Source organism: Homo sapiens, chromosome 12 (assembly GCF_000001405.40).
Source record: "Homo sapiens chromosome 12, GRCh38.p14 Primary Assembly".
Lineage (NCBI taxonomy): Eukaryota > Metazoa > Chordata > Mammalia > Primates > Hominidae > Homo > Homo sapiens.
In genome coordinates, this window is record NC_000012.12 from 22608329 (window position 1) to 22623760 (window position 15432).

Here is a 15432-nt window from a genome sequence, read left to right on the forward strand (position 1 = left end):
TAAATTCACTCGAGATCTGGTCATTTAAAAGTGTGTGGCACCTCCTCACTCTACTCTCTTTCTCACTTTCACCTGCTTTCACCATGTGATGTGCCTGGTCCCCCTCCACCTTCCACCATGATTGTAAGCTTGGTGAGGCCTCCCTAGAAGCTGAGCAGATGCCAGCACCATGCTTCCTGTAAAGCCTACATAACTGTGAGCCAATGAAATCTCATTTATTTATAAATTACCCAAGCTCAAGTATTTCTTTATAGTAATGCAAGAATGGCCTAATACAATATATTTTAAATTTCCTTTTGACTCAGTTTTTACTTAGAAGAATTCATTTGCTTCATAATATTTGGTCCTTCTTTTCACCCTCAGGTTGATAATTTTGGTTTTTTATGATTTGTCATGTGTACTGCTTTTATCATTTATTATTTTGTGATAAACTCATGAGATAACTAACATTAAAGGAGGCAATTTGTATCTATCTAAATACATAAGTTTTGTATTCCTTTTATAGTTAATTAGGACATCTTATATTATTTAGGTTTTTCTACCACTCTGCCTCTTCCCCTTCCCCACCTTCCTTTTTATTTTTTCCATCTGAAGGTCTGTGTTTGGACACCTCTTACATATTTGTTTCAGACATACGGTTTTGGGTCAAGAAGGTGTACCTCAGTTTGGCAATTAACTGTTTCTAAACACTGACTCAGAGGTGTATGAGTGGGTAGAAACTCCTACTGTTTTTTTTGTAAAATGTCTCATCCTTGTCTCCTATAAGTATATTAAAAATCCCTTGGACTGATCCTTAAATAGACCCATTTAGTAAATTTCAGCAGCAATAGCACTGTGAACCAGTTGGATAGATTTCCAGTCAATTTTCTAATTTATAATACTGGATTCTAAACCATATGGTTTTAATGTGTTGACAAAAAGAAAGAATCACATCTTACCACAGTTCAAATATATTAAATCCAATGTTTCCTCATTATCACTAATGGTCTAACACTATCATAAAAGTTTACTAATTGGTACAGTAGGCTTTATTCTTTTAAAGCCATCAGGATTTTGCCTCACTGTACTTTAAACTCTTGTGGATGGTTATTACTGGATTTCTTGACAATCTGTCGTCTAGTGGTTACTGGCATCCTGGTTTATCTTGCCAGTTTACAATTAATAGGGCTACATTCTGCCTGTTTTTATAAACAAACAAACAAACAAACAAACAAAAAACACACACAAAAAAACCACGCTAGTATTTCACTTAACTCTTTAGCAATCGTCAGAGTCTTCACAACCAGAAGTCCTCCAAATCCATCAATCTCCCTGTGTCTGCAATGGTTTTAGGTGACTTGCAGACATTATCTCTTAGCCTCCAGTCACTGTATCACTCCTCATTCCTTGCTAGCGCTGTCTTTCCAGATCGTGTTACTCATAGCAGCTTTAAAATATACAATGGGAAAAAAAGGAGAGTAACATGAGCAGACTTAGTAGATAACAAAGGACCAGAGAAAGTAGGTCCTTGATATTCTCTTTACTTTTTCCCCAGCATATTCCCCTCTAGCCTCTGATAAACTTACCCCAAGGAAAGAAAAGAAAAACATCATTGGATTAGGCAGACCCCAAAGTTTTAACTCAGTTCTAGATTTTGAAGTTCTGGGTTCTGAACTAACTAAGGTTTAAACATTGGAACAATTTCCCTGGATTAAGTTAAGAATGTCTTTTACCTCCTTCTACTATTTATTAATAATAACATAACTCATGCAATAATAGCTATTACGTACCATTTTATTTAATCCAGATAAATATTTAATAATATTGGCCAAAACATATCTGAGCCCTTACTAGCACCAGGCATTATTTCAAAGACTTGACAATCATTTATTTAAATCTTCTCTGCATCGCTGTTGTTATCACTATTTTGCAACGGTTTTGCAGTGATAACAACAGAGATGAGGAAACTGAGGTTAAAAGAGATGAAATAAGTTGCTCAAATTCGACAGCAGGACTGTCTAACTACAAAGCTCATCCTTTTAATCCCCTTCACCACATCTCTAAAGAGGAAGAAAGTCTTAAAACCATTGCATCCTTTGGAGCAAAGCCAAGTAGAATCTGAAGGGGGAGAAAATGATTCTTGTGTGTCTTTCATATACTGCAGTCACACAAGTAGTAAGCATTAGCCTTTTGTAGTTTGTGGGTACACATAACTGTTCTGAAATCCTTTCTTCAAAATATCAAAATATTTGTTTAAATATTCCTTATGAAGAACCAAATAGGTATAACGATATTAAAAGTTTAACTTAGGAATTGGTAATTACATTCATTTGGGGGAAAGTTGGAATGGCAGTAAAACAATAAAGGCTGATTATTCAATTCAGTGTAGAGTCTGAAAAAAAAATTTTAAACCATAATGCAGAACATATTTAGTCTGTCACCTGTTTTATCATTCAACAATTAATTATTAAGTGGCTACTAAATGCCAATCATCACCTAAGCCCTGGGGAAAAATGGATTAAGAAACCTCCAGGATTTAAGCAAGCTAAGTATCTATTTTTTCATCTTTAGAGTGATGTATTTGTTACTGAGATACATGTATATTTGTTATATACATAAATATATATTTATAATATAAATGCCTACATTTATATATGCACATATTTATATATTATATACATACATAATATAAAATATATATGCACATATTTATATATTATGTATGTATAATATGTAAATATGTATAAATATATATTTAGAATATTATATATGTTTGCATTTGTATATGCAAATATATATGCATATATTTGATATTTATATAATTATGATGAAGTATTTATCAGCACTTGTGAATTTTTTATTACTACAACTTAAATAACATTGATTACTAAACCAACTTTACCAAAATCTGTGAAAAGTAATCTATCATTATCATTATTATTTTAAAAAAGGGTCTTGCTCTCTCACCCAGGCTGGCATGGTGCTGGCTCACTGCAGCTTCAACCTCCTGGGTTCAAGCAATCCTCCCAGCTCAGCCTCCTGTGTAGCTGGGACTCTAGGTTTGCACCATGGCCACATTCAGCTAATTTATTTATTTATTTTTTGTAGAGACGGGGTCTTACTCTGTTGCCCAGGCTGGTCTCAAACTCCTGGGCTCAAGTGATCCTCCCTTGCTCAGCCTTTCAAAGTGTTTGGATTACAGATGTGAGCCACTGTGCCCAGCCTCAATATTATTTTTTAATAACTTTCCCCTACTGAGTTAAAATATTGCCTTTTTTGCATACTACATACCCCTATATCCTTGAATCTTTCTTTTTGTATTGAGCTCTTTATTCCTGTGCTGACCTCACAATTTATAGCTTAAAGATGTGATCTAACATTTGTAAGGTACATCCTCTTTCATTACTCATATAATGATGTTTACAATTTTTCTTCTTATATATTTTAGATGATGAAAATTAGGGACAGTTTGGTATGTTTCTTTGTTCAATTAAACCCACAGTTGTAATTTACAATATGTAAACACAGTCTTAAGACTGCTAAGGATATAAAGGGGAAAATGATAGAATTCCAGCTCTTGAGATAATCTTATGTATGAAATAGAGTTATAGTTTATAACTCTATAATTTATAATTTCTGATTCTAGAAATACAAAAAGAGACAAGATAGAACAAGAACCAAGAGGCAGGTTGTACAGAGTTAAATATTAGGTGCTACAACTGAGCACACATATAAGTAGTAAGCCTTTCTTAGATGATTAATGTGGTTGCTGCAGCAGTTTTATAGATGACCAGATCCCTTAGTCTATCTTAAATTTGAAAAGTGCAGAATAGTGGCAGCCTCATTTCGACGTAGCATCTCTAAAAATCTTAGCCCTTAGCAGCCTTCTTTTTCCCTTGTTTTCATGGGGGGGTAGGGCAGAGCTTGCATGTCCTTGAAGTCTGGTATCACAGATGTTTTGAATTCCTTAATATTCAGTTCACTCTACAATGACATGAATTAACTGATTTTCCATGAGGTGTGCGAGAGTGATTTCATTTTAAACACGTCTGCAATTTGGTGGATGATCTAGCTGTTAGACTTGCCTACATGATCTTGTTTCACAGAATATTTTCTTCTGCAAATTCTTTATGTTGTTACTCTGTATTGGGGGAAGCCGCCCCCAATATTTCAATGTATGTTCTTTCTATTTTCCATAAGTGTCGGCCGGCTGAGAAATAGAGACAGTATAAAGAGAGGAATTTTGCAGCTGGGCCACCAGGAGTGACATCACATATCGGTAGGACCGTGATGCCCACCTGAGCCTCAAACCAGCACATTTTTATTAAGGGTTTCAAAAGGGGAGGGGGTGTAAGAACAGGGAGTAGGTACAAAGGTCACATGCTTCAAAGGACAAAAAGCAGAACTACTAATAAGGGTCTAACAAAGATCACATGCTTTTGAGGGAACAGGACAAAAGGCATAAGCAGAACTACTGATAAGGGTCCAACAAAGATCTCAAGGCAAAGGGCAAAAGCAGAACTACTGATAAGGGTCTATGTTCAGCGGTGCATATATTGTCTTGATAAACATCTTAAACAACAGAAAACAGGGTTCGAGAGCAGAGAACCAGCCTGACCACAAATTTACCAGGGCCACGTTTTTCCCCACCCTAGTAAGCCTGAGGGTTCTGCAGGAGACCAGGGCATATCTCAGTCCTTATCTCAACTACACAAGACAGACATTCCCAGAGCAGCCATTTATAGACCTCCCCCAAGGAAGGCATTCCTTTCCCAGGGTATTAATATTCCTTGCTAGGAAAATAATTTAGCGATATCTCTCTTACTTGCACGTCTGTTTATAGGCTCTCTGCAAGAAGAAAAATATGGCTCTTTTTGCCCAACCCCGCAGGCAGTCAGACCTTATGGTTGTCTTCCCTTGTTCCCTAAAAATTGCTGTTATTCTGTTCTTTTTCAAGGTGCACTGATTTCATATTATTCAAACACACATGTTGTACAATCAATTTGTACAGTTAATACAATTATCACAGTGGTCCTGAGGTAACATACATCCTCGGCTTATGAAGATAACAGGATTAAGAGATTAAAGACAGGCATAAGAAATTATAAAAGTATTATTTGGGAACTGATAAATGTCCATATTAAAATGAAATCTTCACAATTTATGTTCCTCTGCTGCAGCTCCAGCTGGTCCCTCCATTTGGGGTCCCTGACTTCCCGCAACACTCTGGTAACTAAATCTAATCCCATTATAATTAAAACATTTATGACCATGTGAGAGGCATGTGAACCAGAGTAACTCCATCTTGAATAGGAGCTAGGTAAAATGAGGCTGAAACCTGCTAGGCTGCATTCCCAGATGGTTAAGGCATTCTAAGTCACAGGATGAAATAGGAGGTCGGCACAAAATACAGATCATAAAGACCTTGCTGACAAACAGGTTGCAGTAAAGGAGCCAGCCTAAACCCACCAAAACCAAAATGGTGACGAGAGTGACCTCTGGTCTTCCTCACTGCCACCCTCCCATCAGCACCATAGCGGTTTACAAATGCCATGGCAACATCAGGATGTTACCCTATATGGTCTAAAAAAGGGAGGCATGAATAATCCACCCTTTGTTTAGCATATCATCAAGAAATAACCATAAAAATGGGCAACCAGCAGCCCCGCTGCTCTGTCTATGGAGTAGCTGTTCTTTAATTCCTTTACTTTCTTAATAAACTTGCTTTCACTTTACACTGCAGACTCACTCTGAATTCTTTCTTGCATAAGATCCAAGAACCCTCTTTTGGGGCCTGAATCCAGACTCCTGTCCTGTAACATATTTCTAGTGACCACAGGAGGGACTATAGTACAGAATCCCTGACCCAACAGCTACCTTTGGGTAAGTGTTGGGGTCCTGTAGAATATTTCTGGTGAATCTTGAAGGGACATTACTAAACACCCCCCCAACCCAAAGGAAATAGACTGCAGCACTGATTGGATGATTTTGGGTAAGTGGTGGGGTACCCAGATAAAGAATGGGCTTGTTCAAGGCCCAACTTGGGGGAGTTAGAGTCTCTCCTAAGGCAGAGTAGGTTAGAGGCCCCTCTTCATAAAAGGCAAGGATCCTTGACTGGCATTGGGTTAGAGGCCCAACTTAGAAGGGGATTAGAGGCCTTCTAAGATTTAGGGGATTAGAAGCCCCTCTTGATAAAATCCCTCTTGGCTAAGAACAGGTTTGGCACTACGGGTTGTTAACTGCTGTTCTCTTTGGATTAATCTGCCTTGCACTCTTCTTTGAGGCCTGTGGGTGATGGGATTAGGCATGTAGAGGATTGTGTGACATGTGGAGCATTTTCGTCCCTAAAAGGCGAAACTTGAAAACTGATAGGATTGCTGGAAAAGATCCCTGCTTGACCGGCAGCAGCCACTAGAACTTTTCAGTGTCGATGCAATGGGTGAGTCTTTCTCTGGCCTCCTTGATAATTTTGCCTTCCCCACCCTGCCACAGGCAATGCTTTTCTTTCTCTCCTTTCTCTTTCTTATCTTCTCTATTATTCAGGGTGACCATCTTGCCCAGAGACCACATGTTGAAACTCCTGGTCAGAGGTTGGATTAACCTCATGACGGGGCCCAACCAGGGGCAAGTTTAAGCCTTTTGAATTTAATAGTGGGTGTTAAGCAGAGTGGCTAATGTCTACGTTTTGTCACATGTATTTTGCTCTGGCCAGAACAGAAAAAGATAATTTTCCTTTGTGTTGTGGCTTGGCCCCTAGGGCTGTGTACAGCCAGCTGGGTCACTAGGGCTGCTCAGGGAAAGGGAATCCAGAAGCCTGGCAGGCCAGCAAAAGGATAAGAATTTCTTACCAATCAGATTTCTAGCTTCTCCCTCTGTGTGTGTGTGTGTGTGTGTGTGTGTGTGTGTGTGTGTAAACTGGATAAAGTTTCTCTCTGGTCAGTTATGCCCTTGGGAACTTGACCTTGTAACCATGTGGCCATGCTTTCTCTTTTCACAATGGTGGCCTGGGTTTAGGGTTCAATTCCTGGCCTAGGGGATGATCCTTTATCTTCTGTCTGTCTATGTGTTTATATGTGTTATGTGTTTGATATTTACATATGAAACAGCTTTAATTAGTTTAAAAATAATAAGAGCTTAATATTTTATTAGAAAAGTAAAAAAGTATAATGAGTTTTAGTCATGTGACTTAAGTAATCTTTGGGAACTAAAGATCGTTTTTTGTTTTTGTTTTTTTTTAAGATGGAGTCTCGCTCTGTCACCAGGCTGGAGTGCAGTGGTGCAATCTGGGCTCACTGCAACCTCCGCCTCCTGGGTTCAAGTGATTCTCCTGCCTCAGCCTCCCAAGTAGCTGGGACTACAGGTGCGTGCCACCACGCCCAGCTCATTTTTTGTATTTTTAGTAGAGATGGAGTTTCACCATGTTGGCCAGGATGGTCTCGAACTCCAGACCTTGTGATCCACCCGCCTTGGCCTCCCAAAGTGCTGGGATTACAGGCGTGAGCCACTGTGCCTGGCCAAGATAGTTTAAAAAATTATTGGTAAATAAAGACATTTGGTCTAAGTTATGCAGGTCAGATATTAAATTTAGTAAATGCTTTAAGGTCATAAACTGCTTGAAAATTGTTCAATTTATCTATCTTAAAGCCATTAGATTCTAGATAAGGCCTGGGGACATGTGGAATTCGCCATACCCCCTAGCTATACAAAGAAGATTATTAAAAAAAGAGATTTTATATGAGAAAGGATCTTGTATGGTAAATTCTTGTCTTAAAGTAAAATGACTATTGATGTTTAGGGCAAGTCAGAAAGCCCAAGAATGTCTCAGATGGTCTGTGGAAGTCATGAAAGGATTTGTGAAAGGAATTTATGCAAGAAATGTACAATTCAAAGGTTGTTAGGCATTCTAAATGCTTCATACAATGCCACCATGACTCTTACTGTAAAACTTGCCTGCTTAAGTAAGGCAAGGCCTGGAGACATGTAGAATCAGCCACACCCCCTAGCTATGCTGGAGAGTCAGCTCTTACATGCACTTCTGCCTGGTGTCTCTTAGGCTAGGATCCACACTTAATACATAATTAAAATCTCAGATTTACCAAAGTTTTCACCAAAAATAGAAATTGCAGAACGTTAACATTATAACATGTAATTAAAACTACAAAGAAACAATTTTACATGGAAGGTGTGTAAAGAAAGTAAAATGTGTTTTTGGTGAAAGAGTATAAGAAGTCATGGGAAGGTGGATTTTTTTCTGCCTACATTAAAGTGTTAAAGGATTGTTTAAGAAAGAAAAAAAATTCTGATGGTTTATGAAAACTTAACCTGCAAAAAAGATTCTGTGTGGACACTGGCTAAAGTAAAAGGGGTATTATTCAGTTTTTCTGCAAATTAACCATTGGAATAAAAGCACAACAGAGTTTCCTTTTTTTTTTTTTTTTTTTTGAGGCAGAGTCTCGATCTGTTGCCCAGGCTGGAGTGCAGTGGTGTAATGTAGGCTCACTGCAACCTCAGCTTCCCGGGTTCAAGTGATTCTCCTGTGTCAGCCTCCCAAGTAGCTGGGTTTACAGGTGCATACCACCATGTCCAGCTAATTTTTGTATTTTTAATAGAGATGGGGTTTCATCATGTAAGTCGGGCTGGTCTCAAACTCCTGACCTCAGGCGATCCACTCACCTCAGCCTCCCAAAGTGCTGGGATTACAGGCGTGAGTCACTTTGCCTGGCCCAACAGGTTTTTCTTAAAGCAAGAACCTCCTTATGATCTGCTCTTTAACAAAAATTGTAAAGGGTTGTAAAAGGTTTATGAAAATTTTACCTATGGTCAAACTGATTAAAATTAAATACATTTATTGATAAGGTTTCATTAAGAATTTGGTTTGAAGTCAATAATGCACTAATGAAACAGTGACATTTGGCTTATTTGGTATAAAAGTTATATAGGAAGCATTATCAAATATGAAATGGTGTTTGGTTTCCTTTGGGCTGTAAATGTGTTATTAGCATATGTTCCAAAATTATGGGAAACTTCTATAATTCTAATATGGCTTAGTGTATGTTATGAGTAGTTATATTGTTACATAAAATCATTGTGTGCCACAGAGGTAACCAAAATTTCTTTGTCAATCGTGGTTTTGACTGTAGCTGTCCTAAGATGTTTTTGTCATCCACAGACAATTTTTGTCTTGTTTTAACCCTCTTTAGATGGTGGTTTATAATCAGCTATAGAACTCTAACAGGTATTCTTAAATGCAGGTTTCTGATAACTTTGAAAATTGTGACATTAGAATAGAGGAAACACCTTTCAGAACTGTCAGAGAGCTAAAGTGTTCGTGAATATCAAGCAAAACAGGAGTTAACTAAATAACCAGAATCAATAAAAAACAGAAGTAATCTTTGTGACTTTTTGCTTAAAACATTGCTGATCCTTTGTTTTGTTTTTCAGGGTCAAGAAAACTTTTCTTTTGAGCTATTTACAGCTTGTAGCAATCGAGTAACCTATACTGCTGTGAATAACATTTGGAGCATATTTGTTTCTCTACCTGATTTCTCTAGAATTTGGAGACTATTTGTGAGCTTTCTGAACTTACAGCAATGTGGTTATTTGCATAAGTGCAATAAGAATCAGTTTTCTTTTGCAACAGGACACAATTGGAGAAATTGGTTATTTTACCAAGGCTTTAACTGGAATGGTGTGCTTTCCTTTAAGGAGTCAAACTTGACTTTTAAAGCCAATAAAAGCCCTTTGGGGAACTGGCCTCATACCTTGCCTACACAGTCCCTTGTACAGGGTTTCTGACCTGTGGTAAGTAAAGAATGTCACTTTCTCTTAGGCCCAGAAGGCCCAAGTTTTCTTGGGACCCCAAGAGGAAAGAAATTTACTTAAATCACATATTGAGGGTACAAACCCATGGCAGGACTTGGCTCTAAAAAAGTCTTATCTGAGATTCCTTATGGAACAAAGTTCTATCAAAGCCAGTTAAAAAGCCTATATGGTAAATAATGATTCTTGCTGCAGTTTATACAAATAATCAGGCCAAGTTTAATAAAGCAAATTGGTCTTACCATAATTTGTCTTTAGTAAAAATGGGAAACTGGAGACAGAGATTATGTTTCAATAACTATGGTATACTTGCTATTAAATTCTAGTCTCATCAGTTGTTTTTGCTTCTGCAATTTAGGCCAACCCTGCTTATTCCTGTAAACCAACCAGTGATCTCTGGCTGCTGCTTAGAAGAAACAAGAGGGATGGCTAATTAAACAGGTTGAAGTAAAGGAGCCAGCCCAAACCCACCAAAACCAAAATGGTGACGAGAGTGACATCTGGTCGTCCTCACTGCTACACTCCCACCAGCACCACGACAGTTTACAAATTCTATGACAATGTCAGGAAGTTACCCTATGTGGTCTAAAAAGAGGAGGCATGAATAATCCACCCCTTGTTTAGCATATCATCAAGAAATAACCATAAAAATAGGCAATCTGCAGCCCCCAGGCTGCTCTGTCTATGGAGTAGCTGTTCTTTTTTTCTTTTACTTTCTTAATAAACTTCCTTTCACTTTGCACTGCAGACTCGCCCTGAATTCTTTCTTGCATGAGATCCAAGAACCCTCTCTTGGGGTCTGAATTCAGACCCTTGTCATGTAACAACCAGAGCACCCCCGGGTTTATATTTAGTGATCCTTTCATTCCCTCATACAAATGCTCATTATGTAACAAGTCAGAAACAGCTTTTCTAGTCTTTTATATGTGGTATAATCATTATGACTTAAATACACAATGTGGGTGTCATAAGGCAGAATTTTGTAGGTGTTTTAACAGATACATAAAAGGGAGAAGTAAATTTGGACTAGGAAAATCCAGATAAGCTCCATGAAGAAGACTGCTGGAGAGTTAAGCTTTGAAGGATGAGTGAGGGTGTAAGAAGCAGACATAGGAGACAGGACATTCCAGGTATTGGAGGGTCCCAATGCCATGTGAAGTATGGGAAAGGGACTATTAAATGTGTTGGATACTTCAAAATAATGTTACATCTTCATAGCTATGTTATATTCTCTTGACGTGTGTTGCAAGTTGCTGGAATATTTTACTGACACCCTGTAGCTAAGATTTTTTTCCAGACTCAAAGATAACTAGTGGGCTGGCCAGTGGTCTAGGAAATAATCAGGCAGGTGATTTCAGCATAATGAGTTAAGTGGATACAGCCCCTGGCTGAGGGCTATTCTTATGTGACACTGGCAGAGTTTCAGAACTACTTAGGTGGGCTTAAGCATTTATTTATTATCTTTTATGTTCTAGGCACTATTGTAGGCAGTGGAAATGTGGCAATAGACAAGCTGTGGCTCTGCTTTCCTGGCGGTAACATTCCAATACATAAGAGGGACACTAAAAAGGTAAATAAAAAATACACTGATTTTAGCTGATCTCATTTCACAGAGGTCAGCGCACTCTCCCCTCTCTGAGAGTGTTACTATGCTTAATAAACTTTTGCTGCTTTGCTGAAAAAAAAAAGTGAATACATTGATTTCAAGGTAACTCACGTTGTTTCATGATATATAAAAAATAAAAACAGGTTGTTGTGATAAGGGAAGTGATGGATGGAAATGCCCCTCCAGGGAACAACTTTTTAGTAAGATCTAAATAATAGGAAGACACGTGAAAAGAAGCCAGTAGGCAGAAATCATGAGGAAGCAAAACTAGGCAATCAGAAACAGAAGAGAGGTAAAAACAGGTGGAGAGAAGACACAGAGAACTCAACTAACCAGAAGGGCTGTTGGGTTTCCAGAACTATTGCTTGAATTTTGACTTCTAGGGTCCCTGTTGGCTCCTGAATAGATGCATAAGTAGATGCATATGCTCCATTTTCCATCTTTATTCTGTTATAATATATTCCTATCTATCTAACATCTAATGATCTATTGATCTAACTGTCCATCCATCCAATCATTTTCATATTGTGGGACAGTTAGGTTGCTGCCAGTTTTTAGCAACACAAGGAGCAAGACAGCAGTGAACATTCTTGTACACACTTTATCAAGTACATGGTATGGGATTTTTGCATGTACCTGGAATTGAAACTGCTGGGTGGTAAAGGATGTCTACCTTTAACTTGATAAAAACCTGCAAAATTGTTTTCCAAAGTTTTTACAAATAAATTTACTTCTCCACAAGAAATGTACACTTGGCATTATCAGACTTCAAAATTTTTTCCAATCTAATGGTGTGAAATGGTATCTCATTATTTTAATTTATATTATCTTAATTATTAGACATTACAATTAGGGAGGTATAGTTTCAAAAGTTTATTGGCTATTTGGGTTTCCTTTTCTTCAAACTGCTATTTGTTTGCCAGTTATTCTACTGGGTGGTTTAACTTTCTTATTTATTAGTAGTATCCTGAGTATAAATACTTTTTGATCATACACATTGCAAATATCTGATCTTTTTATGGCTTGTCATTTATCTTCATGGTATTTTTGGTCATGAGGTTTCAAATTTTAATGTTTTCAAATTTATCAGTCCTTTTCCCTCATAGTGTGTGCTTTATGAGTCTGTTTAGGAATCCTTCTTTAACTTGCAATCATAGAGATCTGATCCTATATTTTCTGACTTTTTTATTAATTTACATTTATTAGCTACTACTGCAAGGCAGTATGTGGATTGACAAAAATACAAATATGAACTAAAGTCCATAGTTTATATTAAGGTTCACTCTTTGTATTGCATAGTTCCGTGAGTTTTGACCAATTTATAATGTCATGTATCCACCATTATAATATCATACAGAATAGTTTCATTGCCCTAAAAATCTCCTATGCTCCATTCTTCCCTTCTTGTGACTTGGTCCTTCATTTCTTTTCATCATTCAATAATGTTCCATTTTATGGATGTAGCAGTTTTTATTGTACATTCACCTATTTTCTTGGTTGCTTCCAATTTTTGACAGTTATGAATAAAGGTGCTAGAAACATTAGTGTGCAAGTTTCTGTGTGGATGTAAGTTTTCAAGTCATCTGGGTAGATACCAAGGAACATGATTGCTAGATTGTATGGTAAGGCTATGTTTAACTCTGTAAGAATCTGCCAGACTGTCTTCCAAAGTGGCTGTACCATTTTGCATCCTACCAGTGATGATAGTTCCTCCTCACATCTTCATAGCATTTGGCTGGTTGTGTTTTGGATTTCAGCTGTTCCAATAGATATGTGATGGTATCTCATTGTTTAGATGTTGAATATGTTTTCACATGCTTTTGTGCCATCTGTATATCTTCTTGATGAGATATCTGTTCCGATCATTTGCCCATTTTAAAATTGGGTTTTTCTATTGTTAAGTTTAAGGAGTTCTCTGTATAGTTTGAATAGAAGTCTTCTATTGAATATGTTTTGCAAACATTTTTTCCAGTCTGTGGCTTGTCTTTACATTATCTTAACTATCTTTTGCAGAGCAAAAGTTTTTAATTTTAATGAAGTACAACTTAACAGTTTTCTTTCATGGGTTGTGCTTTTGGTGCTGCATCTGAAAAGTATCTGCCAAACCCAGAGTCACCTAGATGTTCTGTTATGTTGCTTTCTAAGAATTGTATAGTTTTGTGTTTTATATTTATGTCTATGATCCATTTTAAATTACTTTTTGTGAAAGGTGTAAGATCTGTGTCTGGATTCTTCTTCTTCTTTTTTTTTTTTTTTTTTGCAAGTGTATCTCCAGTTGTTCCAGCACCATTTATTGAAAATTTGAATTGCCTTTTTCCTTTGTTAAATATTAAATATTAGTTGACTATATTTGTGTGGATCTATTTCTGGACTCTATTTTGTTCCATAGATCTATTTCTCTATTCTTTTGAGAATACTACACTGTACTACACTGTCTTTTTTTTTTGGTTTTGAGACAGAGTCTCACTCTATTACCCAGGCTGAAGTGCAGTAGTGTGATCTTGGTTCATTGCAACCTCCGCCTCCCAGGTTCAAGTGATTCTCCGGCCTCAGCCTCCCGAGTAGCTGGGATTACAGGTGCCTGCCACCACGCCCAGCTGATTTTTATATTTTTAGTAGAAACAGGGTTTCACCATGTTGGCCAGGCTGGTCTCAAACTACTGACCCCAAGTGATTCACTCGCCTTGGCTTCAATACTACACTGTCTTGATTATTGGAACATATACTATTTTTTTTTCTTTTTTTAGGCAAGGTCTAATTCTGTTGCCCAAGCTTGAGTGCAGTAACTTGATCATGGCTCACTGCAGCCTCAATCTCTTGGGCTCAGGCAATCCTCCTGTCTCAGCCTCGGAGTAGCTGTGACTACAGGTGTGCACCACCACACCTGGCTAATTTTTTTTTTGGAGAGATGAGGTCTCACTGTGTTGCCCAGGCTGGCCTTAAACTCCTGGGCTCAAGCGAACCTCCTGCCTCAGCTTCCCAAAGTGCTGGGATTACAGGCATGAGCCACTGCACCCAGCTATACTGTCTTCAAGTCTGTCTGTTTTCTCACTTTGTTTTTCTTTAATATTGTATTGGCTATTCTGGCTCTTGTGGCTTTGCATGTAAACATTAGAACTGGTTTGCTGATATCCACAACATAACTTGAGGTGATTAGAATTGAATCAGTAGATCAGGTTGATAAGAACTGATATTTCTTGCACATTTTTAAAGTTTTGCTTTTAACATTTAGGTTTCTAATCTTCCCCAAATTAATTTTTATGCATAATAAGAGGGAGGGATCAAAATTTTTTTCTCATACAAAAAGCAATTGTATCACTACGGTTCATTGATCAGTCTGGACTTTCTCACTAATTTTTAATGCTACTTTTGTTATATACAAAGTTCTCATATGTGTGTAGGTTTTGTTCTGGGACTTTATTATGTTCTAGTAGTTTATTTGCCCATACCTAAACCAATATATAATACATCCTGGTAGGGTTGGTCCTCCCAATATATTCCCTGATCTTACCTGTCCCTATCCTCCTCTCCCCAATTACAGCGCTTTTCTTGGACCTTAAGTTTTGATATGAATTTCAATGTCATTTTAACAAGTTCAGTAAAAAAACCCTTTTGAGATTTTAACTGGAATTGCATTATATGTACTGATTAGTTCAGGGAAAATTGAGGCCTTTACATTAATCTTTTCTCATTTATGAATATGGTTCATTTCTCCATTAATTTTATCCATGGATCCTGTACATTTTCGGTTACTTTTGTTCTCAGGTACCTAATAGTTTTTTTTTCTTTTCTTCTACTTGTTAATGGACTCTTATTTACCATTACAAACTAGTGCAGTTTGCAACATAATTTTCAATTAAATTGTTTTACAGTTACATAGTTTTAAAATTCTTAAAATGTCAACTGCTTAATAAAAAATACAATTTATACAAAAATACAAGAGATACTATCTGAAATGTGAAAGTAGTAGTATATTTATGATTTCTCCCCAAAGTGGAAGGAACACACACTCTAATGTTTCTTGTAGA

The 15432-nt window shown here is 37.3% G+C and overlaps 1 long non-coding RNA gene across 2 annotated transcripts in view; it reads right to left on the reverse strand.

Annotated features, from left to right (window-relative positions):
- ETNK1-DT (ETNK1 divergent transcript) overlaps positions 1-15432 on the reverse strand; it is a 36040-nt gene that overhangs the window by 19322 nt on the left and 1286 nt on the right. The window contains exon 2 of one of the 2 annotated variants that reach the window (NR_135030.1): positions 1255-1426. This is a non-coding gene — a long non-coding RNA (ETNK1 divergent transcript). Of the gene's footprint in view, positions 1-1238; positions 1427-15432 lie in introns of those variants that run through there. The other variant, NR_135031.1, reaches the window with a different exon arrangement.